This window comes from Homo sapiens, chromosome 13, assembly GCF_000001405.40.
Source record: "Homo sapiens chromosome 13, GRCh38.p14 Primary Assembly".
NCBI lineage: Eukaryota > Metazoa > Chordata > Mammalia > Primates > Hominidae > Homo > Homo sapiens.
Window position 1 is genome coordinate 99,403,094 of NC_000013.11, and position 25,021 is coordinate 99,428,114.

The following is a 25,021-nucleotide window of genomic DNA, read 5'->3' on the forward strand; positions in this document are numbered from 1 at the left end:
CACTCACAGGTGGGAATTGAACAATACAACACTTGGACACAGGGTGAGGAACATCACACCATGGGGCCTGTCAAGGGGTGGAGGGCTGGGGATAGCATTAGGAGAAATATCTAATGTCAATTATGAGTTAATGGGTGCAGCACACCAACATGGCACATGTATACATATGTAACAAAACTGCACGTTGTGCACATGTACCCTAGAACTTAAAGTATAATTTAAAAAATGAATTAAATGAAAAAAACATAAATAAATAACCTGTGCCTGAGTCCCTCTCCTAGAGATGCTGACTGAACGCATCTTGGCCAGTGGTTCTCAGACTTGGGCACTAGGATTTTCCAAAGGTCCCTCGCAAGGCTGGTAAAACAGTGCAGGCCCCACCCTAGTGGGGCAGACTCAGCAGGTCTGGGCAGGGTCTGGAGTCGCTGCTGCTGCTGGTCCCCAGACCACAGTCTGAGAACCACTGCTCCTGGGTTGAGGGAGTGGCCTGGGTGTTCACACCTAACCCCAGTAACAAGAAAAGATGCACTGATATCCCCAGTGACGTGAGGTGGTCTAGCACCCCTTACAAATATCAGTGGCCACAATCTGTTTCCATTTTAAATGAGTTCTTTAGTGTTAAGTAATTGACACACATGTTGCTCCATGGAAACCCCACAAATATTCCACGTGACAAATACAATAGTCCCTTGTGCAGATATTACAGTTTCCTTTTACAGATGAGGAAAGTGAGGTGTGGGTGTGTGTGGGTGCGGATCCTTGGCAAGGTGCCTCCTCCCATCGCCCTGGGTTAGTCTGTTTTCCTTGATATAAAGAAATGTCTGAGGCTGGGTAATTTATAAGGAAGAGTTTAACTGGCTCAGGTTCTGCAGGCTGTACAAGCATGGCACCTGCATCTGCTTGGCTTCCAGGGAGGTCTCAGGGAACTTTGACTCCTGGTGGAAGGTGAAGCGGGAGCAGGTGATCACACGGCGAGAGTGGGAACAAGAGAGAGAGGAAGGAGGTGCCAGGCTCTTTAAACAACCAGATCTCACCTATCTGAGTAAGAAGTCACTCATCACCATGGACAGGGCACCAAACCGTTGATGAGAGATCTGCCCCGTGACCCAACCTTGGGGATCACATTTCAATGCAAATAGCCAAACCATATTCAGAACTGAGACCTCTCTCTCTGTAAATCCAACCCATCGTGGGCATTCCTAAAAAGAACACCCGCCTCCATCCATGGCCAGTACAGCAAGCAGACGGGCATCTCGGCTGTGCTTTCTCTTCCCACCCAGTTCTACCTCTTCTTGCCAGACTTCGCGATCTCGGGCCTCTTTCCTGCTCCTGTTTCGTTCTCAAATGCCCTCTGGTATGACTGTCTCCTTCCGGCTTCCTCATGCTCATAACTGCGGGGCCCCACGCAGCTTTGGAGCTGAGCAGCCCAGCGTGCAGGCCGGGTCAGGTGTGAGAAACGCTTGAGAGGTGGCCCAGGAGGATCTGTAATGTCCGGAGGCAGCCAGACCTCGGTGTCCCTGCTGGAGGCCCCTCTGCAGCCCCTGGGCCCCCCTCCTCATCACACCACTGGCTGGCCAGCCCCTCTCGTACCTTCATGCCCTGTGAGAAGTGCTCGGTTAGTGCAAATGCATCAGGGGTGTGAGCTTTGCTTTTAATCCCGGCCAGGTGTGGAAGCAAACTACTGGGCACCTACAGGATTTGCTCAGAGCAGCCACCAGCGGATGCAGAGGGGACCTTTCAGCTGAGGTTCTTCACTCCTGAATTCACAGGGCCCCAAGAGCAGAGTTCCAAGTTCTTTGAGACTTTGAGCCTCTCTGCCTCCAAGCTGGAAGCAGACATGGAGAAGAAGTGTGCCCAGGACCTCAACATGAGCTCCTGAGGGTTTTTCGTAGGATTTGACAAATCAGACTTCATAAGAGAAATGATCCTCATCCATTCAAACTAGTGGGGGCATCTGGAGCGCTAGCTCCCTGCCTGGGGTAGTGCCAGCTGTCCGGGGCATCAAGCAAGGGTGCCAGAGCAGACATTTCCTTCAGGACCTTGCAGTCCAGTTGCCAGGATGTAAGTGGAAAAAAAGTGCTTTTTTATACACCAACAACCAGTTCTCTGTGGACACCAACTGGATGTCCCACAATTTAATTCGATCCTGACACTAGCTACTCAGAGTTAGTGCAGGCCCCCCCAGGGTTAGGGCCCCATCCCACAAGACTGCCCCCCACTTCAGATGCCAGTCTCAAGTAGTGGGCCCTCAGGTTACCACGCTTCTGTCCAAGTTGGCTACAAATCGAGGGTTCCCCTCCTCAGGTTGGATAATTTGCTATGACAGCTCACAGCACTCAAGGGACACTTTACTTACTATTAATTACCAGCTTATTCGAAAGGATATAATACATAAAGGATATAGACAAGCATCCCGATGAAGAGGTGCCTAGGTTGGGAAAGGGCCTGATTTCAGGGGCTTCTGTTCCCACGGAGTTTGACATGTACCATCCTCCAGGCATGTGGAGTTCACCACCAGAAGCTTCTAGAACTGCATCACTTCGGGGTTTTATGGAGGGTCCATTACAGAGATGTGATTGATTAAATCATTGGTGATTGGACTCAATCTTTGGCCTGTCTCCTTTCCCCAGGAGCTAGGGGATGGGGCTGAAAGTTCCAACCCTCTAACCATATGGTGGTTCCTCCAGCAACCAACCTTATCTTCTGGGTCCAGGCAAGAGTTGCCTCATTGGCATAAACTCAAGTGTGATGGAAAAGGGCTCATGATGAAGAACGAAAGATGCCCTCTCACCCCTGTCTCTTGGAAAATTCCAAGGTTTTAGGAGCTCTATGCCAGGAACTAGGGGAAAGACCAAATACGTATTTCTTATTTTATCACAACGTCACAGGATGAGACATTCCCCACTCAAGAAAGTGTATGTGAAGTTCTGCCTTGAAGAGAGTCAAATGTCCAAAACGTAGCCGGAAATTGGAAGATGCAAGAAGCATCAGGAGAGAAGAGGGTCTCTGGGGGACAGCGACTGGGGAGGGCTTGAGGCAGGACTCCACGCTTATTCCTGTCTGAACCGCCGGAGTGTGGGGGGACGGTGGGGGCAGAGGGAAAGGCCAGGGACTGTCGTCAGGAACATGCGCTTGGCAGGAAAGCACACATTCTATTAGGTTGGTGCACAAGTCACGGCAGAACAGCAGTTTTGCACCAACCTAATGCTTTACGAAACACAAAATCACCCACGTCAAAATGCTCCATAAATGGCATCAGACTTGGCCGGGCGCAGTGGCTCACGCCTGTAATCCCAGCACTTTGGGAGGCTGAGGCGGGTATATCAGGAGGTCAGGAGTTCGAGACAAGGTTGGCCAACAAGGTGAAACCACATCTCTACTAAAAATAGAAAAAATTAGCTGGGCATGGTGGCATGTGCCTATAATCCCAGCTACTCTGGAGGCTGAGGCAGGAGAATCGCTTGAACCGGGGAGGTGGAGGTTGCAGTGAGGCGAGATTGTGCCATTGCACTCCAGCCTGGGTGACAGGGCGAGACTGTCTAAAAAAAAAAAAAAGAAAAAAAAGAAAAAAAATTGCCTCAGTAAGTCTGAAGAAGTTGCAATGAAACTTCTTTCAAAGTTCGGTCTTGCAAAGGTTTGTTTCGATCTAATGTAAGCAGCATTTAAATGGATACAGCCTTTCTGACACTAAACAAATGAAAAAAAAAGGGCCTGCTTTTCTGACTGTTTCCTTTCCCCCTGTTCTTCCCAATGACACGTGCATCCGTGAATGCTTTCACATTGCACAAGATCCAAACCACCACACAAAAGCACACGAAGTCCCTTCCCCACTTGGCACAGTCCCTCCCGACCCTCTGCAGAGGCATCAGCTCAGCGCCTGGCTGTGCATCCTCCCTGTGTTTTCCAAGTTTTTCAGAAAAACCTTGACATTTTAGTAAATGTTAAGGCTAAGAATTGGGAAGTTTCTCTGTAAGAGAAGGGGAAGTGTTCTTGCTCTTTACAGCATTTCACCCCCCAAACGGGAAGCATCCTCTAAATTGCTGATCTAGTGCTCAGCCACTTCTTTCAGGCTCTTCTGCATTTACCATGAAAATAGACTTTTCCTGGAAAAAAACACCCCACACCCCTTTAGGGGCGAAGGAACTCCACTACCATTTACTAAGAGATATTAGAGCTGTGTTTGTCAGGATACTGAAGTCCAAACTTCAGGGCTCCATCCTTACACTGTCCCTTCAAAGACCCTGTCTCTAATTTTGTATTTCTTTCTTTCTTTCTTTCGTTTTGAGACGGAGTCTTGCTCTTGTCGCCCAGGCTGGAGTGCAGTGGTGCGATCTCGGCTTACTGCATCCTCTGCCTCCCGAGTTCAAGTGATTCTGCTGCCTCAGCCTCCTGAGTAGCTGGGATTACAGGTGCCCACCATCACACCTGGCTAATTTTTGTACTTCAGTAGAGATGGGGTTTCACCATGTTGGCCAGGCTGCTCTCGAACTCCTGACCTCAGGTGATCCGCCCACCTTGGCCTCCCAAAGTGCGGGGATTACAGGCGTGAGCCACCGCGCCCGGCCTAATTTTGTATTTCTTATTCTGTATTCTTTTCCTTAAAAAACCTTTTGCCCAAATTGTATCAACTTCAATACCCCAACGCTGGACCCCTCCCTAGATACAGTCATAAAGCAAATGACACGTTAGACCACGTGCTCCGCTAAGAACATAGAACCTCTGGCCTGGGTGATACTTGGTGTTTCTGAAGAAGCTTTTCCTGGGGTGGAGGAGGAGGAGGAGGAGGAGGAGGAAGACCCTTTGAGCTTTAAAATGCCCAGGAGCCATTTCCTGTAATGGGTGGATGCAAAGAAGTAAATGATGGGGTAATGCCACAGTTCATGTTCATGAGGGCCACGGTGGCCTGAAGGGACAGTAAGAAAGCCCTCCGCTCGGCACAGGATGGCAGGTGGAGCATCCCTCTCGCCATGAACTGCTTGATGTTGAGGTGGTAGGGGCTGAAGCAGACCACCACGGCCACCAGCATCAGCAGCGTAAGCAGGCAGCCTCGCCAGTGGCGTCCTTTCCTGCTGGTCACTGGGTCCTCCCGGGCTGTCCCGCCGGTGGCGTCCTTTCCCGCTGGTCACTGGGTCCTCTCGGGCTGTCCTGCCGGTGGTGTCCTTTCCCGCTGGTCACTGGGTCCTCCTGGGCTGCCCCGCCGGTGGCGTCCTTTCCTGTTGGTCACTGGGTCCTCCTGGGCTGCCCCGCCGGTGGTGTCCTTTCCCGCTGGTCACTGGGTTCTCCCAGCTGTGCTGCACAGCTTCCAGGTGATCTTCATATAGCAGGACAGGATGATCCCCACTGGCCCACAGAAGCCAATGGCAAAGGCCACCAGGACCATGAGGGGCAGCCCGAGGACTGACTCCATGCTGCTGTACTCCATGCAGGCCAGCTTGCCCACCAGCGGCTTGGTCATGGGCATCAAGAGCAAGGGCATCGTCTGCAGCAGCACCAAGGTCCAGATGGCCACGCAGACCAGCCTGGCGCGGCCAGCCGTGCGGAGGCGCGGGCCCCAGTGGGCACAGACCACAGCTGGGTAATGGTCCACGCTCACACAGGCCATGAGGTAGACCCCCCGTAGGTGTCGGTGTAGAGCACAAACGCCGTCAGCCTGCAGAGCCCCTTGCCGAAAGGCCAGCTGGAGCCCAGCACATAACACACCACCCTTCCCGGTAAGGCCACGGTGAACAGCAGGTCAGACACAGCCAGGTGCACCAGGTAGATGCCTGTGCAGTTGATCTTCCTGCTCTTTTGACAGGTAAGGCAAAGGGCAAGGATGTTTCCCAGGGCACTGAAGACCAGGAGGGCTGTGTAGAACAGAGAGCGTCATGCGGGCCACTGGGGCCAGGAGGTGAGGACGGCAAGAGCTGGCATTGCCAGGAAGACTACTCACGCCAGCAGTGCCGGAAGCCATCTCACGTGGCTGCCTGGGGAGGAAAAAAGAAAAAAAAAACACTGTATCTGTGGGGTTATGCCTCTGGAATTGTAATAATGAATAGTTTTGCTGAGGCAACATGCACAAGTATAATAAAACATGTCTTTTTCAGTAAGCTTTTTGTTGAAGTGCAACATACTGTTCTGGTTACTATGGCTGTGTAACAAATTACCCCAAAACGGCAACTGGAAACATAGTTTTATCATGTTTGTGGATTCTGTGGGTCAGGATATTGAAGAGGGCACAGTGGGAATGATTTTTCTCTGCTCCCTAATCTTGGAGGTCTCTGCTGAAAAGGATCAACAGCTGGGGGTTACTCTGGGGCACGGGTTGGGGCCTCCTGGAAGCGACTTTGCTCCCGTGTGTGGCTGTTGAAGCTGACTGCTGGCTGGAACCTCGGCTGGGGCTGTCCACGGGAGCATCTGCCTATGGCTTCTCCCAGCATGCCAGCCTCAGGGTAATCAGACTTCTGATACGACAGCTCGAGGCACTGAAAGAGAGTGTCCCAGCAAACAGGACAGAAGCTGCATGTGTTAACCACGTCTTTTATTTTCTGTATTCTGATGCTTTAACATTTGGGGACCTTGCTGACTGTGGAGGGACTGCCCCTTCCCGGGTTAGCCAATTCCTAGAGACAGTAAACAACTCACCCATGAACACGCTCTTCAGTTCTTCAAATGCAAACCTACCAATCCAGAGTCCTTAGCTTCCACGGGCTCCATTTACAGCTCTCACACACCAGGACACTATCCACCTGCCCTAAACACCCCAGGGCCAGGTACCACACAAATGGGGACAGTCCTCATGTCTCAGAGCTTGCTGAAATGATTCAAACCACCCAATCTTAAGCCTGTGTACCCTAAAACCACTCTTGCCCACATTTTCCCCTGCTCCCTTCACCTCCTGACCAACCCTATGTCTCCCCGGTGGCCCTGCGTGATGGGGCGTGCCCTCCTCTTGGGATCTGTGAGTAGCAAACTGTCCTTCAATGGCAGTTATCTGCTGACCTGTTGGCCTTCTTGAACCTCGGCTTTTCTTTTTCTTTTTTTGAGACAAAGTCTTGCTCTGTCGCCCAGGCTGGAGTGCAGTGGAGTGATCCTGGCTCACTGTAACCTCCACCTCCTCGGTTCAAGCAATTCTCATGCCTCAGCCTCCTAAGTAGTAGAGATGGGGTTTCACCATGACTCCTGACCTCAAGTGATTCGCCTGCCTCGGCCTCCCAAAGTCCTGGGATTATAGGCGTGAGCCACAGTACCGGACCCCAGATTTTCTATTAATACACTCTATTCTAAAACACTGCCTCACCTTTTCTAACCTAGTCCTGAAGTGTCATATCATCACTTCCAGTGCCTTCTATCACTTACAAGCAAGTCACAAGCTCATCTAGAATCAAGATAGTACAGGGGCATGGGGGGAGAATAGCCTCCACTTCTCCATGGGAGAAAAGTAGAAGAATTTGGAGCCTTTTTTTTTTTTTTTTTTTTTTTGCTTTTGAGATGGAGTTTCACTCTGTCACCCAGGCTGGAGTGCAGTGGTGAGATCTTGGCTCACTGCAGCCTCCACCTCCTCCTGGGTTCAAGTGATTCTCCTGCCTCAGCCTCCCGGGTAGCTGGGATTACAGGCACGCACCACCATTCCTGGCTAATTTTTGTATTTTTAGTGGAGACAGGGTTTCCCCATGTTGGTCATGCTGGTCTTGAACTCCTGACCTTAGGTGATCTGCCCACTTCAGCCTGCTAAATTGCTGGGATCACAGGCATGAGTCACCGCACCTGGCCTACAGCCATTTTTTAAACCATAACACATACATAGAAAAATGGGTGCAGATCATAAAAGCACAGCTTGTCGATTTTCACAAAGTGAACTCACCCATGTGATCGGCACCCAGATTAGGAAGCACAACCTCACAGCCTCCCAGAAACTCTCCTCTGCCCTCCCAACCTCCACCTTCACTCAAGCGTGGCCCCTCTCCTAACTTCTAAAATCACAACTCAGTTTTGCATGCTTTTGACCCTTAAATAAATGAAACCATGCTATACGATCTTATGTGTGTCGCTTCTTGGGTTCAATGTTAGTTTGTGAGCATCACCTGCATTGTTGGGTGTAGTTGTAGTTTGCTCATTCTCATTGCTGAATGGTATTCCATTGTATTTGCATTTGAAGAACTGAATAGCGTGTTCATGGGTGAGTTGTTTACTGTCTCTAGGAATTGGCTAACCCGGGAAGGGGCAGTCCCTCCACAGTCAGCAAGGTCCCCAAATGTTAAAGCATCAGAATACAGAAAATAAAAGACGTGGTTAACACATGCAGCTTCTGTCCTGTTTGCTGGGACACTCTTTTTCAGCGCCTCAAGCTGTCGTATCAGAAGTCTGATTACCCTGAGGCTGGCATGCTGGGAGAAGCCATAGGCAGATGCTCCCGTGGACAGCCCCAGCCGAGGTTCCAGCCAGCAGTCAGCTTCAACAGCCACACACGGGAGCAAAGTCACTTCCAGGAGGCCCCAACCCGTGCCTCAGAGTTACCCCCAGCTGTTGATCCTTCTCAGCGGAGACTTCCAAGGTCAGGGAGCAGAGAAAAATCATTCCCACTGTGCCCTCTTCAATATCCTGACCCACAGAATCCACAAACATGATAAAACTATGTTTCCAGTTGCCGTTTTGGGGTAATTTGTTACACAGCCACAGTAACTAGAACAGTATGTTGGACTTCAACAAAAAGCTTACTGACAAAGACATGTTTTACACAGCCATGGTAACTAGAAGAGCACAGAGCACCACCATTTATTTATCCGTTCTACTGTTGCTGCGTGGTGCAGTTGCTGCCAGTTGGGATAATTACACACAGTCCTGCTCTTTATGTACTTTATGTGTTTGGTGAAACTTGTCTACATGTTGCTGAGCATACAGCTGGGAGTGGAACTGCTGGGTCACAGGCTCTGCATGTTTCTACTTTTAGTAGGTCCTGGCAAACAGTTGGTCAAAGTAGCTGTTCTTAATCGTTCCAGCAGTGTGGGGGCACTCCCGTGGCTCCTCTTCCTCACCACCACTTGGTGTTGTCAGTCTTTTTCAGGTTAGCTGTTTTGGTGGGTTGTGGTTTTAACAGCAGTTCCCTGATCACTACTGATGCTGGTCACCTTTTCACATGTTTATTGGCCATGTGGTAATCTTTCTGTATGCCTGTACAAATTGTATGCCCCTTTTTCTATTGGGTTGTTTGTTGAAAACGTGTACATATTTTCCTATTTCAAATGCACTTTTCCCAGTCTGCTAAGTAACCTAGCCTTGCCTTCTTTTTACCCACCTCCATTTCTCTCAGCTGCATTCTGATCATCCTTTAAGCCTTAATTTCCAAACTGTGACAAAAAGAAGAGTGGGAGTGGGTCTATGCAGTGCTCTGTGCACAGCAGGTTGGGGTCACGTGATGGTCTACGTGGTGCACACATAGGCACCAAAGTGTACAGAGGGTGTACAGCTCGCCCAAGGACCACTGTAGCTCATGCAGCCAGCACTGAGATCCAGGTTCTGAATGGCTTACTTCTGCAGTCAGATGCTGACTTGAAGGGCACCAGGTCCATGATCCCCTAAACCTCCCTCGATTCAGGACATAGCTGTCCCCTCCTGAACAATTTGAGGCTGGCTGGTGGGGATCCTGCTGTAGATTGTGCCTCATGTCAACCCAGGTATAGACATCTCTGTCTCATCTCTGCAAATAGAGAAGGAGCTTCTATTCAAATGGAAAGGAAGGGAAGCAAGGCTGAAAGGCAGAGAGAGGAGCACCAGAAAGCCCTTTGAACCTCAGGATGGGTGGATGGATGGATGCATAGATGGATGAATAGATAGAGACAGAGATGCTAGATTAGATAGGCAGGTGGACAGATATGACAGATTACTTAGATATAGAGATGATAGGGATGCTAGAGATGCCAGGTGGCTGATAGATAGATGGATATAGAGATAATAGATGAATAGAGGGACAGAGGATGGATGGATAGATAGAGAGATAGATTGGATAGATAGATGATAAGTAGATAGATGATAGAGAGATATAGAGATGATAGATTACATAATGGATAGATGAATAGAGGGATAGAGGATGAATGAATCCATAGATTAGATAGATAGATAGATAGATAATGTCAGATGGATATAGAGGTGATAGATTAGATAATGGATAGACGAATAGAGAGATAGATGGGTGGGTGGATAGATAAAGATAGGTGAAGATAGAGATGATATATCGACAGAGGTAGAGCTAGTCATGCACTCTGAAAATTGAATTTATACATATTTTTAACTTTATCAAGAATTCCCCAAGTGCTGTGCCAGCTACTGGTTGCATTTGGAAGATGCAAAAGCATGGTCTCCTACTGCCTGCGGTAGAGTGTTAGGACCTGTTTGAGAAGAGAAGACGTGCAGGGGAAACATCGCTAAAGCAAAGCTGCGGCTAGAGCTGTTGAGGTTTTGCTTTCTTCTGAGTTTGGCCCTGATAAAATGGCAACACAGTAAGAAATATGTAAAAACCCACGCAATGATCCTTTTGCTACTTTGTTTTATATTGTTCTTTCTTTTACAGATTACACTCAAGCAAGAGTTTTTTTTCTAGCATTCTAACCCCTTAACTAAGTAAACAGACATGTCCTGGAGTTGGTGAGAGAAGCCACCTCTGCCCTGTCCCACCTTCAGTTCATGAGCTGCTCCCAGGGAAGGAGAGTGCAGAGAACAAACCGAAGGAATGGCAAGATCTCGGAGCACTTGGCCTAGCTCAAGAGTCAAGGACAGCCCCCAGGTGGCTCCTGCCTGCCCTGGGAAAGCAGCCAGGGGAAGCGATTTCCCAGGACCAAAGCAGCCCAGCTTACAGGGGAGGGGCCGGTGAGGGACGCTGGGCACAGGCCTGCCATCTCCTCTGTCTGGGCCAGCCCCAAACCCCAAACTGCACTGCCTACACACACACACACACACACACACACACACACACACACCATTCTTTTTGACCAAACTTTAGTAAGGCTTCCCTAAGCCTTCTTCTTTGGGCTTTCCCAACTTTGGGCGTCCATACGGAACCACCCAGCCTTGATCTCTGGTCACCTCTCTTATCTGGTCAAATTCCTCACCCCCGCCCTCGACATCAGATCACCCTGGCTTTCAGCAGGAATCGGCTTAGGTCATCTTAACAAGAACCCTCATGTTTCCTTTCAGTAATTTCCCATCCCCCAACTCTGCTCCTTGGGGATGAGCCCCATTTTCCTCGTCCTTTTGGGAATGGAGCCCCGCTCTGTCCTGAGGACTTTTCTCCAATTGCAAGAGTTCCTGAGCAAGATCTGCGTCCACCGCTCCAACTGCTGTCGGCTCCAGTTTTCTTTAATAACACCCACACCCACTCACACACGTGCACACACCCATTTACACACATACGTGCACATGCACACCCACTCACCCTACATACCCAAACACATGCACACTCACACACCCACTCTACACACATGCACAACCACACACACATGCACACACCCTACACACCCACTCACACACATGCATACACCCTACATACCCACTCACATGCACACACCCTACACACCCACTCACATGCACACATTCACCCTACACACCCACTCACACAATGCACTCACACACCCATTCACACGTGTGAAAACACACCCACAGATGTGCACACACACCCACTCACACATGCACACACTTCCCCACCCATACACATATGCACACATTCACACATGTGCACACATACCCATTCACACACTTGTACTCACCATGCAGACATGTGCACACACCTACTCACACTCCACTCACATGCTTGCACACCCACTCATATACTCACACGTGTATACTAACACACACCTGCACTTGCATACATAACATTTCCACTCGCTTACACTCACACACATGCTCATGCACACACACATCCACTCATTCACACATACCCACTCACACGTGCACACACACTACACACACCCATCCTCACAGGTGTGTGCACACACTATATATTCGCACACTCACACAGACACACACACTCCATACACACCCCACATATGCACACATGACACACACTTATTCACAAACATGCACACATATATACACACTATACACACACCCACTCACACCCATGCACATGCACTCCACCCACACACACCCATTCACACACACACTCATTCACTCACATACATGCACACTCACACCCACTTTACACACCAACACACATTCAAACGTGCACACACTTGCACACCCACTCACGCATATTCACTCACACACACTGACGCTTCTCACACACTTGCTCACACACTCAAACTCACTCTGTGGAGAAGTGACCCGGGAGCCCCAGGGGTGGGGCAGGCCAACCAGCCCGCACTGAAGTGACCGCTCTTTGGAAGAGCACACAGACTCCAAGGCCCTCTCGTGAGTTTCACCAGCTCCCAACCACGAGAGAAGGTTCCTCTTCCTCCTCCCCTTCTTTCCTGAACAACTTGCTGGCCGAGCAAGGTGGGAGGCTGTGGGGAAGGGGCCTGAGGCCTGAGCCGACCTAGGGTAGCTCAGGTGGTGCGAACCACAGGTCCCCTCACCTTCTAGAACCGACTTGACCAGGCACAGAGCCGCTATCTGGTGCCTTTGGAAAGTTGTGTGTTCATTTTTTAATTTGTTCAGGCCTCACAGGGCAAAGAGATGGGACTGGCTCCTGACGCACCCCCAACCCTTGGCAATGGGCCCCCCTTCCTGATTTTTCAGGGGCCTCTTCCCCAGGGCACATCTCCCCCAGCCTCAGCTCTGCCTGGCCCTCAGGAATTCCAGCCTCAGGGTTCACCGCGTGCTGTGGCTCCCTGCCTCAGCCGGGGTGCCTCGTGCCCCCTTTGCTGCCAGGACACCGCACTAGCCTCGAGGCCCAGCTAAGGGCTACCTCCTCTCTGAAGCCTCCCCGGCTCAGCAGCATTTGTGAGCCCCTCCACCCTTGGCGCTTGCTTGGTACTTGGTGGGGACTGAGCCTCCGCAGTGACTCACAGGCCTCTTTCACGCCTCTGCACGCTCAGCAAACCCTTAGCCCTTGAGGGGCTGGCCTCGTCTTCTTCCTTTTCTTGGTATTTGGCACAAAACAAGTGCCCAGGATGCTGGGCCCTGCTGGAAGCCACAAAAAAGTCACATCCATACCCCAAGGAGGGGGTGGCAGGTGCTGTCACCACTGCTGTGAGTCTGGGGAGGTCAGCAGGGTTGGACAGCCACATAGACCCAAAGCAGGAGCCATCGAGAGAGGCCAAGCCGCTAAGCCTCACACCTTAATCCTAGCTACCTGTCCTCCTGCTGGTCCATCCCATTCCTTTGCTCATTGATGTCGGTAGACATGAGGACGCAGGGCACTGACAGCTCCCGGACTGTGCTGCGCGGGCTGTGGCCCCACACCTGCCCAAAGGTGAGCTCCTCTGCACCCCGTGTTCTGCGTCTCCACCCCATGGGGTCTCTCCCCACAAGCACAAGCACCCCACCCTTCCCCCATCCCATCTGCTCTCAGGAAAGGACCTAACATCAGTCATTTGTGCCTTTATCTGAAGTTACCCTGTTACAAGGTCCTTTGCCTTCTGAGGCTCACAGTGCTGATTGCAGCGTGCCAGGCGTGCCTCCGCTCAGAGATGATCAATCAGTGCAGTCATGAAGGGGGAGAATTACCAAAAGCGCTTCCAGAAGTGTTCTAAAATTCTCCCCCGGGGGTGACACAGCAAAGGTAGCCTGGTCCTATCGGTGGCTGGAGGCTGACGCTGGCCTCTGCTCCTTCTGGCCTGACAGCAGTGGCCGGGATCCTGGAGCGTCCACGCAGGTTAGGGCGTGCTCTACACCCCGCGTAGGCTAGGGCGTGCTCTACACCGATGACGGGTGGAAGCAGAGTGAGCTGCAGCTCACCAGGCCATGGGGGCAGAGCAGCTGCAATCTGAGCCGTTTTCTTGGAGCCCAAGCACCTTTCCCATGCCCTGGGAAGACCCCCTGGCCCGCTTACCTCACCCACCAAGGACATGTGCAAGGAGGCCAGCAGAGGCCTGTGCAGCAGCCAGCCTGCTTCCTAGGTGGCTCCAAAGCCTCGAAGGGTGTCCCCTGCACGCTGTCCTCTGCAGAAACGGAATCTGTTCATGGCACAAAACTCGACACTCTTCCTCCCTTTACACCCCTGCTGGAAAAAAAAAAAGAGAGAGAGAGAGAGAAAAAACACCCAGGGTGCCAGTCAAGGTGATCTCCCCGCCACAGGATGCCTGCGCACAGCCCCCACCATCCCCTAGAGAAGAGAGGAGGAGGAAAGTCACCCCAGGAGGCCAATTTCCTTTCAGCTCCATTTCCCTGCACACCCCTCAGGCTGGGATTCAGACCATAGATGTGACAGTGAAGCCACCAGAGTCAGGAAATTCAAAAGCAGCCACCATTCTCCCCGCACTGGGGCAGCGAGCAAGGGAAAGCAAGAAACGCCCCCTGGGGACCCAGACACTCTCAGCTCCGTGTGTGAAGGTGGAGGGGAGACCGCCCTGGCTCTGGATTTCCTGGGTTTTGTGACCCAGGCAAGGTGCCTTAATGGGGCCTGAAAGGTGCATTTGCAGCCCAGGCAGGCAGCGCTCCAAGAGCAGCAGTTAGCGGGGGCTGGGCAGCGGGACTGCAGGTTAAACCCACCCCTCCCCAGCAGGGAAAGGCTGCGGGCTGAGGCCACCGGGCCACCGCTCTTTTTCTCCTCTCATTTCAAAGGGCAAGAATGGTTTTCCCTGCCACATCACTGGCTAATAAATGAGGCATCGAGCAGCTCCTTTGATTAAGACTATGCGGCCCTCACTACGTCATTGTCATCATTGACACGGTAAGTGTGCCTGTTCTTTCTGAGGCTGCCTGTGAACCCAGCGTGAAGCCCACCCCAGTCAGCAGCCAGCTGTCCAGCCTAGGGGAACAGCTGCCCCCAGTCCACTGTGTCCCGGCTTCCCCTAGTCTAGAATGTGGTCAACACACTCCCCTACCTGGCCTCCCATTGACAGAGGCTATGGGACCCAATTTTCCCCATATGTAAATCGGGCCTTCAAATATGCCCCCAAAACTCCAGGCCTGTTGGAGATAACTTAGATGAAAAGGTCCTATCTTATCATACACCTTTACCATAAACTTCCCCTCCTGCCACCCCCAGAAGGAAGAGCTGAGGCAGTTTCCAAAGGTGCCTGACTTGTCCACAGACCACAAGCCCCAGGAGAAACGTCCTGGGCGTCCTCACAACATTTAGGATTAAATGTTAAAAAAAAAAAAAAGAGACCTAGAAGGCCCCCACAAAAGGGCAAGAAATTATAGAATACCACCCACACGGGGTTTATTCCTGATTCACTCAATAAGCATTTACTGAGGCACAGCTGGGCGCAGCCACGGGCTCTAAGTTGACTGTGTACAAGTGATGGAGGGCTGCAACCCACACACAGGAGGGCCTGGGGTCTGCCCCGCCCCGTGCCAAGTTATCATCTCTGTTGCCCATCAGGGACCTTGTCTAAGCGGGAGCTGCAGCCCCCACAGGCCCAGCGAACCTGACAGAACCAGACCCTGCCCCAAGTTCTGTGGATCCCCCCACCACTCTTGCGGGTCCTTCCTTCTGTGTTTATCGCTGAGGCCACGCACTGAATGTCACATTGTCTTGGGTTATTGTCTAATTGTTTCCTGGGCAGAGACATTTCATTTCAGCCAGCTGAGTTCCATGGGGTAGAAACGGCAGCAGGCTCTTATATAAATCATCTGCTGGGGTGGAAGAGATTATCCAGCCCGTGGTGGGGGCCAGAATTCAGGGGGGCTGTGAGGCTGGATGGGAAAATGATGCCATCTTTGTTTCCATTAGGCCCCAGCTGAAATGTGATGTTTCAGTTGTGGACACGAGTGGCCAGCCACAGTGGCGGGAGAGTGCCTGAGACTTGGGTGCTGTTTGTTAGAAACCACAGCAAGTCTTTTCATCGCCCAGTGCAGGTGATCCAGGTACCTTAAGGCATTATTTATGCTCGTCACTACCTTGAAATTACAGTCACTATTAGACATGTCAGTAGTGAATAAAGAAGTGTGTAGGACATTATATTAAAAATCTGCTTTTCTTTGGCCAGGCGTGGTAGCTCATGCCTGTAATCCCAACACTTTGGGAGGCTGAGGCAGAAGGATTGCTTGAATCCAGGAGTTCGAAACTAGCCTGGGCAACATAGCGAGAGTTTGTCTACAAAAATTAAAAAATTAGACAGGTATGGTGGTGCATGCCTGTAGTCCCAGCTACTCTGGAGGCTGAGGTGGGAGGATCACTTGAGCTTGGGAGGTCAAGGCTGCAGTGAGCTGTGACTGTACCACTGCATTCCAGCCTGGGTGACAGGGAGAGACCCCCCATCTCAAAAAAAAAAGTACTTTTAAACATTTTGATCACTATATTTTAATATGAAAGGTTTCTTTTCATCTTAGGTGTTTTACTTTATACATTTAAAAACCAGGACTCTGGGAAGGGGTCCACAGGCTTCAGCCAAAAGGGTTGTGGCTCAAGAAAAGGTGAAGGACCCTCGATCTAGTCTAACCATTTTGCCTTCTAAGTGGGGACACTGAGGCATGGGATGTTTCCAAAGCCTCCCAGCTTATCCATCAGACTTGATTAGAGCCTCAGCTGCCTGAAACCCCCTCCGCTTCAGATGCAGTGGCCTTCCATCCCTGCACTCCACACCCTGAGCCCGACATGTGACTTCCTGACCCACTGACTACCCTGGTTCCTCCTCCAGGTGCTTCATCAGCCCCCTTCATCTTAGTCCATCTGTCCTCTTCCACCTGGCCCTGGACAAGGGTCAATAGAGCACAGTGGTTTCCTGTTCACTCAGGTCAGGAAACCAATGGCAAGAAAAGTGACAACGATGGCACCCATGATTGAGGACCTCCTCTGTGTCAGACACTCCTAGCTTTACTTATTTACACCTCACTTTATCCGCAAAGAGGCATCATTATCCCCATTTCACAGATGAATAAAATGAGGCTTAGAGGAGTTAAGTGATTTGTTCAAGGCCAACTGCATGGAGATACGGGTCCTCCAGGTGGGTTCAGTTACAAGGCAGTCGAAGCTGGGGCTGGAGTGGGGAGGTGGCCGAATATAGGCTCTCCCAGATCTGAAGGATGCAGAGACTTTGGGCCAGTGTTCCTGAGGACAGGTAGAGCAGGGGCTGCGGACAGTGCAACTGTGGCTGAGCCCACCTACCGGCTGCTACCCTTGAAGTGGCTTCACAAGGTACTGATTTCTGCCTCGCTCTGTGCCTGCCCCGGGAAAGCGGAGCTGGCACCGCTATCGCATCTCTGTGGTTTGCACGTCTGTGTTCCCAGAGCTGCTTCAGCCCCACACGTGGGCAGAGCAGCAGTGTGGTTGAGCTGTCCAGGTGCTGCCGTTTTTGCTTTTTCTTTCTTTTTTAATGATGAAGAGGAAAAGGAGTGTGGGGTGGGCACAGATGTACTTGTTCCTCTTTTTTTACATTTAATCATTGACAGGACTGCTGACGCTGGAGTAACACACTCACTCACCCATGTAGTGCTCACCAAGTGTCTACACTATGCTGACCTCCCAGAACCACCTAGGTCTTCGGCACTGACAGACCCTCCCTTCTAGCAAAGTAGACAGGTAGACAGGTGAGAGCTCTATGGGGTGACAGGCACGCCGCAGAGATAGCAACTTCAGGGTGCCAAGGAACACACAGGAGGAGGCTCTTCCTGGTCCCAGGTGGCCGAGGAGGTTTCCCAGAGGTCAAGCTTGAGGATGAGACAATCTGCCCAACCCCTCCAGCTGCTGACACAGAGGGAGGGAGAGCACAGGGAATGGTGTGCCGGACCGTTACTCTCCCACCCAGAGGTTTCTTGTCACTTTCTCTCATATTTCCTTGAACAACACAAGTCACGTGGCCACACCTAACTTCAAGAGGTGGAATCCTGGTGGGGCACAGTGGCTCACGCCTATAATCCCAGCACCTTGGGAGGCCGAGGCAGGTGGATCACCTGAGGTCAGGAGTTCGAGACCAGACTGGCCAACATGGTGAAACCCCGTCTCTACTAAAAATACAAAAATTAGTCGGGCTTGGTAGTGCATGCCTGTACTCCCAGCTACTCAGGAGGCTGAGGCAGGAGAATCGCTTGAACCTGGGAGGCGGAGGTTGCAGTGAGCTGAGATGGTGCCACTGCACTCCAGCCTGGGTGACAAAGCAAGACTCCATCTCAAAAAAAAAAAAAAAAAAAAAAAAGGTGGAATCCTGCCGTGTGCTGGGAGCAGCACAAGCAGTGTGGACCACACTACAAATGTGTCCTCTCCAGCCCCAAACTCATGTGGATTCGCCCATCCCCACAGAGCACCTACCCACGGCCATCCTGCCCGCCCCACCTTGCTCTTCCTCATGTGCCATGCCCGCCCCCGCCGTCACCCCAGTTTTCGGTCCTCATTCATCACCTCTGCTGCATTCTCGTGGCTGTGGCCTCAGCCCAGTCCTCACTGTCTCTCTCCAGGACAGCCACAGCTTCTTGCTTCCTGGTCTCCGATCTTAATTCTCCAATCCAGTTTATATTCTACATCCCACTGAGGATTGCAGAATGAGTTTGCTAAAGGCACAACTGATTGTGTTATTCGCTACCTAAAATCCTTTGAGGGTCTTTAGGACAGGATTCGATTTCCATGACCTGGGATATGCTGTTCTCTCTGTCCAGAATGCATTTTCCCTCCCCATGAACCCTCATCAACTCTGCTTAACTCCTTCTCACACAAGACTCAGCCCTCCTCCAGGCAGTCTTCCTTGGCTGCCCCACACCCTGCATCTCATTTTGGTGCTCCCCTTCTAGTCCCCAAATGTCTCTATATTAGTGTACACCATAAATGACTAGTGTCTGTCAGACTGGGAGCTGTTTAGGGAAGTGACAAAGTCTCAATCATCAACTCCTAGGGCCTCCACAGGGGTCAGCCTGGTGGGTGCGTGCTGAATGATTGCTGAATGCAGGGCCAGTGGTAGTTACTGTTCCAAACCTGCCCTCCACAGCCTGTCTTCCCACATCATCCAGAGACTTCTTCCCACAGGACACATCAAGCATCTGCTTAGCTCCCTGTGCTGGCCACTGGGGAGGGGGTGTGAAGGCACACCCATGGCCTGCAAGGAGCTTAAATGTTGAGGGGAAAGTTGAGAAACCCAAAAGTCACTGGGAACCACATGGCACTCAACGTGGGGACGACAGCTGGGGATGAGACACCACCCTTATGTCTTCCCTTGGCCTCATAGAGTCACCACATAGAGGAACCTGATAGAGGCTCCTGTCTAATCCGACCAGGTTGCAGATGAGGATGCTGAGACCCAGAGAGGTGGGCTGAGTCACTGCGGTCACTCAGGTAGCCACCAACGTCACTGCAACCCAGACCAGCCTCAGACCTCCACAGCAAATGCTCTTTAGGAAAAAGCAGACGTGGGCACCTTCCACTTCTATGCAACATGCTGTGACGTAAGACAACCCTCAAATATCTCAAACCAGCGGTGTTTTTCTCCCTGCACTCTTCCTTCAAGAGGAAGTTGCAATTTAATTGAATTATTTCTTCTTTCTCTCCTTTAGTCAAAAATTGTGATTTAAGCACCTTTTATGTTTAAGCCACCCTGCTGGCCACCAGGTGATAATCCAAGAGAAACAAAACCACCCTCACTTCAGAGCTTGGGGACAAGACACATGTCCCTTACATCAGCGAACCAAGATCGGGAGGGAAATGCCGAAGGAGTGGTTCAAGCAGTTGGCAAAAATTTTACAAGAAAATGCCCCAAGGAGCTATTTAGTCAGAAAAGCAACTTCTGGGGAGATCCCTGGATTCAACACAATCCCCTGTCCTGACCATCCCCGACCTGTGATCCTACTGTGCGGACAGCTTCAGAGCCTGAAAGGCGCAGAGTCGGTAACATTAAATGAGAGTCTCTTCACCCGGTCAGACTTCGTTAGGGCCAAGCTCTTCGAGCAAGATGGAGGTGCCGTCCTTCCCCAGTGCCTGACTCAGTTGCCAGCACCCAGTGTGTGCACTGGGTGAACGCAGACACTCTTCTTTCTACAGTTCCCATGGCAGGGGTCAGGGCCCATGGAGTATGATGGGGTTCAGGCCACGCTATCCCAAAACATGGCATCTTGGCATTTAAGAAAACAGGAGGAGCAAGAAGGTCACTCCTACCCCCACCATGCCCCTCCCCACCCCCGAAGCAGCTTATAGACCCTCGTTTGAAAGTTCCCCTCCACACACCCAGAAGAAAGGAACATCCTTACCTCTGAAGGCACCAGGGTCACAGGGAGGAGCCTGAACAAACAAGCCTTGCTAAGTCCCCCAGGGGTTCCCCATTCGATCACACCCTTGTCTTCCTCCAATCTTATTTCTCCAAAATCATCCACTCTTCATCTAACCTAAGCATGGAAAAGTCACAGGTCTCTCTGTTTCTTTAGGTTTCTTCAATTTCCTTTTTCATTTTTTCTTTCTGAGATGGAGTCTCACTCTGTTGCCCAGGCTGGAGTGCAGTGGCACAATCTCAGCTCACTGCAACCTCTGCCTCCTGGGCTCAAGCAATTCTCTTGCCTCAGCCTCCTGAGTAGCTGGGATGACAGGTGTGCACCACCATGACCAGCTAATTTTTGTATTTTTAGTAGAGACGGGTTTTCACCATGTTGGCCAGGCTGGTCTCGAACTCCTGACCTCAAGTCCTCCCACCTTGGCCTCCCAAAGCGCTTACAGGATCATAGGCGTGAGCCACCATGCCTGGTCCTGGAAGGAGGATCTTATGATCTGTTTTCTGGTGAAGTAGGTCAGAGGATTCCTTTATGGCCAGCTGTCACATAGAAGGGTGGGGGAAGGGTCTCATGATCATCTCGTTTCTTTGTTTTATCAGTTGCCAAGGTGCCATGTTTTGGGGTATCAGGCACTGAGCCCAACAGGTGGAACTCATCTACATTGGTAACAGTTGTAGTTCATTCACTCTCATTGTTATATACTATTCATTTGTTTGGCTGTACCAACACTTACACATTCATGCTCTTTTATTTTTTCTTTTTCTTTTTTCTTTCTTTCTTTCTTTTTTTTTTTTTGAGACAGGCTCACTCCGTCACCCAGGCTGGAGCACAGTGGCATGAACATGGCTCACTGCAGCCTTGACCTCGAAGGCTCAAGTGATTCTCTCACCTCAGCCCCTCAAGTAGCTGGGACCAGAGGTGCATGCCACTATGCCTGGAAAATTTTGTATTTTTTGGTAGAGACAGCGTTACGCCATGTTGGCCAGGCAGGTCTCAAACTTCTGAGCTCAGGCAATCTGCCAGCTTCAGCCTCCCAAAGTGTTGGGATTACAGTTATTCTCCTTTTGATAAACATGAGTTGTATTTCATGCGGGGCTATTACAAACAGTGCTGCTGTGAACATTTCTGTACACATCATTTGGTGAACTTACATACTCATTTTCTTTAGGATGTACCCAGATTGGGGAATGCTGGGCCACAGGGTATTTTGGTTTAGCTTCAGTTGAAACTATCCTTGGTTGATTTTTTAAAAAGAAAACATTTTAAAACTTGATTTTTTTAAAAACTGAAAATAAAATTTAAAATGATCAATGTTTTGTCAAAGCGGCACTTTTCCTCTGTGATTGAACAATTAGGTTTTTAAAAATAATTGGAGGAGAACTTAAATATGTGTAGTCTGGTATTTTTCAACCATTGGGTTAAAATCCACAATTAGTTGGTTTAAAAAAAAAAACTGTTTTGGGCCAGGCAAGGTGGCTCATGCCTGTAATCCCAGTACTTTGGGAGGCCAAAGCAGGAGGATCCCTTGAGCTCAGGAGTTTGAGACCAGCCTGGGCAACACAGTGAGACCCCATCTCTACAAATAATTTAAAAATTGGCTGAGTGTGGTGGTGCATGCCTGTAGTCCTAGCTACTCAGGAGGCTGAGGCTGGAAGATTGCTTGAGCCTGGGAGATGGAGGCTGCAGTGAGCCATGACTGCCACTGCACTCCAGCCTGGGTGACAGACAGAGCAGGACCCTGTCTCAAGAAAAAAAAATTGTTTTAATTGTGATAAAATATACATAAAATTTACTACTTTAATAATTTATTGTGGGTTTCGAGATCATTTTAGTGGGCCATGATCAGAACTTTTTAAAAATGAGATAGAAGAGAAAAGGAAACAGAACAGAAAAGAAAATACATCGTAATAAGGACAAATACTGTTTCATAAGACTTCTGTTTCCGTTGTGTGTGCTCTGTGTTTTAAAAGTTTGTAAAACACGGGTCTAGTCCAACTCTTTTAATTTACAGAGAGGGAAATATACTCAGAGACAGAAGTGATATCCCAAACAGAGCTTGAACTAGAACATGGCATCAGGCTTCCAATTCAGAGTCTGATATTTTCCAACTCCCATCTCACCATCTTTGCTGTTGATCTCTCCAAACTCACGTGCTAGATCAGGCTAGACCTTCATGGCCCCATATTTTCTTGGTGGAAAAGGGTCTCCTGTTCCCTGCCCCTTGAGTTAGTCCCAGACAGGCTGCAGAGAGGAGCCAGGACTCAGCCAGCACCTTCTGAACGCCACTGTGATAACCCAAGGATGCCCCATTTGACCTTGTCTACTCTGGGGTCAACCAGGAATAGTACAAACCTAGATCTTAACGGAAGAGAGGGGAAAGGACCTGTGGTTTGACATTTTTCAGAATTTTTCTCTTCTGTGTGTTTCAAGAGCACTTTTCTCGCGGAGCTCAAGAGAGGAAGCGCTATAAATAGAGGGCCTGGAGGAGGGGCGGCCGCGGGAGGAAGAAGTTCTCAGAACACCTGCTTGTCTCAAAATCAAGGCCCAGTGGGGTTTTTCAGGGGGCAGTTCCCAAGCAGGCCCCTACCCAATCCCCCGGCCAGAAACTTTTCCAGGCTCTTCTCCAGCTCATCGAAACCAGGGCTTAGCCCTCTGGCCTGGATCCCTACACCCCAAATGCAGCCACAACCCCAAGTCCACCCCAGAGCCCTGGGAGGGGTGACCTTGCCCCTCTGGATCTAAGGTCCCTGGTCACTCAGCTCAGAGTCACGAGCTGCTCCCAGCCCATAGTTGACCTAAATGAGGTCAGGGCAGACCCCAGTCCACACCTCAGCAACGCCTTCCCGTGTCTGAGGACAAGACCCACCAACGGCAGATTGGTCATCTCTGACCCGCAGGCGGGATGGGGAACGGGCTCTCTTGAGGCTGTCCCTGCAGCAGCTACTGTTTTTACTTGGAGTGTGTTTCTCTGGGGGCTGCCTTTGGTGGGAGAGGAAAAGGCCATGCAGATTGCTTGGGGAGGGGCCAGACTCCCCCCTCATTCCTCCACTCCCTTCTCCCCTGCCCTCTCCACACCCAGCCCTGCACCCCTCTCCTGCCACTGGGTGGCCTATGGCCTTTCTGCTGCCATGCTGCCCGCTCTCCTCTTCTCTCCTCACCTGGGGGCCCCTCTTGCCTTGCAAGTCTCCACCTCAGTATCCCCTTGGCCAAGAGCATTTCAAGGACCTCGCTGTAAATTACACCCCGGGTTACATGGCAGGCTCGTCCTTCAGACACCATATGTGTTCAACTCAGGCTTGGATGTGTGTCATCATGAGGTTAATCTGTCTCTCCCTCAGCGAGCTGCGAGCTCTGAAGGCGAGGCCAAGTTGGTTTTGCTCCCTGCTTCTACCACCTTCCAGCACAAGGTCCAGCAGGAGTCATGCCCAGCACATTCCTCCAGCCAGCAGGGAGGGGAAGGGAGGGGAAGGGAGGGGAGGATGCAGGAGAGATGAGGGGAAGGTGGGAGGGGAAGAGAGAAGGGAGGAGAGAAGAGAGGATGCAGGGGAGAGGGGAGACGGTGGAGGAGAGGATGGAAGAGAGGAGGGAGGAGAGGGTGGAAGGGACGAGGGAGGGGAGAATGAAGGGGAGGAGGGAGGAGAGAGGGGAGGGTGGAAGGGAGGAGAGGGGAGGGTGGAGGGGAGGAGGGAGGAGAGGGTGGAAGGGGGGAGTAGGGTGAAGGGAGGAGGGTGGAAGGGAGGACGGAGGGTAGGGTGGGAGGGAGGGCAGGGTGGGAGGGAGGAGAGAGGGCAGGATGGAGGAGAGGGTGAAAGGGAGGAGGGAGGGGAGGATAGAGAAGAGGAGGGAGAAGAGATGGAAGGGAGGATGGAGGGGAGGGTGGGGGGGAGGATAGAGAAGAGGAGGGAGAAGACAATGGAAGGGAGGACGGAGGGGAGGGTGAAGGGGGGAAGATAGAGAAGAGGAGGGAGAAGAGGATGGAAGGGAGGATGGAGGGGAGGATGAAAGGGAGGAGCGAGGGCAGGGAGTCAGTTTTCAGCAGGAATTGAACAGCTCTCTCCCTTCTGGTCACTCCATGAAAAATAGTTTGAGAGTTTTCCCCTGTGCTAGCCAATCATGGGGCTGTTTCAGCATGGAGCCCCACTTCCTCTCAGGGCACACTCTTTCTTCTTGGAAACCGCCAGGAAGCAGCCGGAGCCAGCAAGTGGTGTGCCTCAGCCTCCCTCTGGAGAACAAGCGTCACAGGTTTTGCATCTGCCATCCCTGGGCATTGCACAGCCCTGGGGAGGCCAGGAGCCCATAGGACTCATCCTTTTCAAGTGAAGGTGAAAAGAGTGAGTCCTATGTACCACAGGACTCACCTTTTCCAGTGTGATTCAATAATTTCTAGTTAATTCCGAGTTGTGCAGCATTACCACAATCCAGTTCTAGAACTTTCCAGTCACTGAAAAAGAGCCCTGTGTCCTTTTGCAGTTATTCTCGGTTCCACCCTAGCCCCAATCAACCTCTGATCCACTTTCTCTCTCTATGGATTTGCCTTTTCTGGACACCTCCTATTATGGACTCATACAATACGTGGTCTCTGGTGTCTGGCTTCTTTCGCTGAGCACGATGTTTTCACGGTTTACATTGGAGCATGCTCCTATGAGTAGTTTGTTTCTTTTTATTTTGCTGAATGGTATTCCCAGGACTTGGTTTTTTATCAATGGGGGGAAGATATTTTTAGTCATATAGAAGCCATTTCTTCCTACAAGGACACAAC

General features: G+C 51.0%; 1 pseudogene, besides 7 other annotated features; it reads right to left on the reverse strand.

Moving 5' to 3' along the window:
• Nucleotides 4,833–5,875, reverse strand: CCR12P (C-C motif chemokine receptor 12, pseudogene; annotated as a pseudogene).
• Nucleotides 8,118–8,167: an enhancer, noted in NCBI's record as "active region_7938". NCBI's record gives its function as "activates an Ori minimal core promoter by ATAC-STARR-seq in GM12878 lymphoblastoid cells {active_cell/tissue: GM12878}" and the evidence as "EXISTENCE:reporter gene assay evidence [ECO:0000049][PMID:35858748]".
• Nucleotides 14,098–15,017: an enhancer, noted in NCBI's record as "H3K4me1 hESC enhancer chr13:100069445-100070364 (GRCh37/hg19 assembly coordinates)". NCBI's record gives its function as "activates a minimal SCP1, AML or CMV promoter by ChIP-STARR-seq in naive H9 embryonic stem cells {active_cell/tissue: H9 hESC(naive)}" and the evidence as "EXISTENCE:reporter gene assay evidence [ECO:0000049][PMID:30033119]".
• Nucleotides 17,003–17,142: an enhancer, noted in NCBI's record as "active region_7939". NCBI's record gives its function as "activates an Ori minimal core promoter by ATAC-STARR-seq in GM12878 lymphoblastoid cells {active_cell/tissue: GM12878}" and the evidence as "EXISTENCE:reporter gene assay evidence [ECO:0000049][PMID:35858748]".
• Nucleotides 17,193–17,282: an enhancer, noted in NCBI's record as "active region_7940". NCBI's record gives its function as "activates an Ori minimal core promoter by ATAC-STARR-seq in GM12878 lymphoblastoid cells {active_cell/tissue: GM12878}" and the evidence as "EXISTENCE:reporter gene assay evidence [ECO:0000049][PMID:35858748]".
• Nucleotides 17,293–17,402: an enhancer, noted in NCBI's record as "active region_7941". NCBI's record gives its function as "activates an Ori minimal core promoter by ATAC-STARR-seq in GM12878 lymphoblastoid cells {active_cell/tissue: GM12878}" and the evidence as "EXISTENCE:reporter gene assay evidence [ECO:0000049][PMID:35858748]".
• Nucleotides 22,741–23,010: an enhancer, noted in NCBI's record as "active region_7942". NCBI's record gives its function as "activates an Ori minimal core promoter by ATAC-STARR-seq in GM12878 lymphoblastoid cells {active_cell/tissue: GM12878}" and the evidence as "EXISTENCE:reporter gene assay evidence [ECO:0000049][PMID:35858748]".
• Nucleotides 23,321–23,480: an enhancer, noted in NCBI's record as "active region_7943". NCBI's record gives its function as "activates an Ori minimal core promoter by ATAC-STARR-seq in GM12878 lymphoblastoid cells {active_cell/tissue: GM12878}" and the evidence as "EXISTENCE:reporter gene assay evidence [ECO:0000049][PMID:35858748]".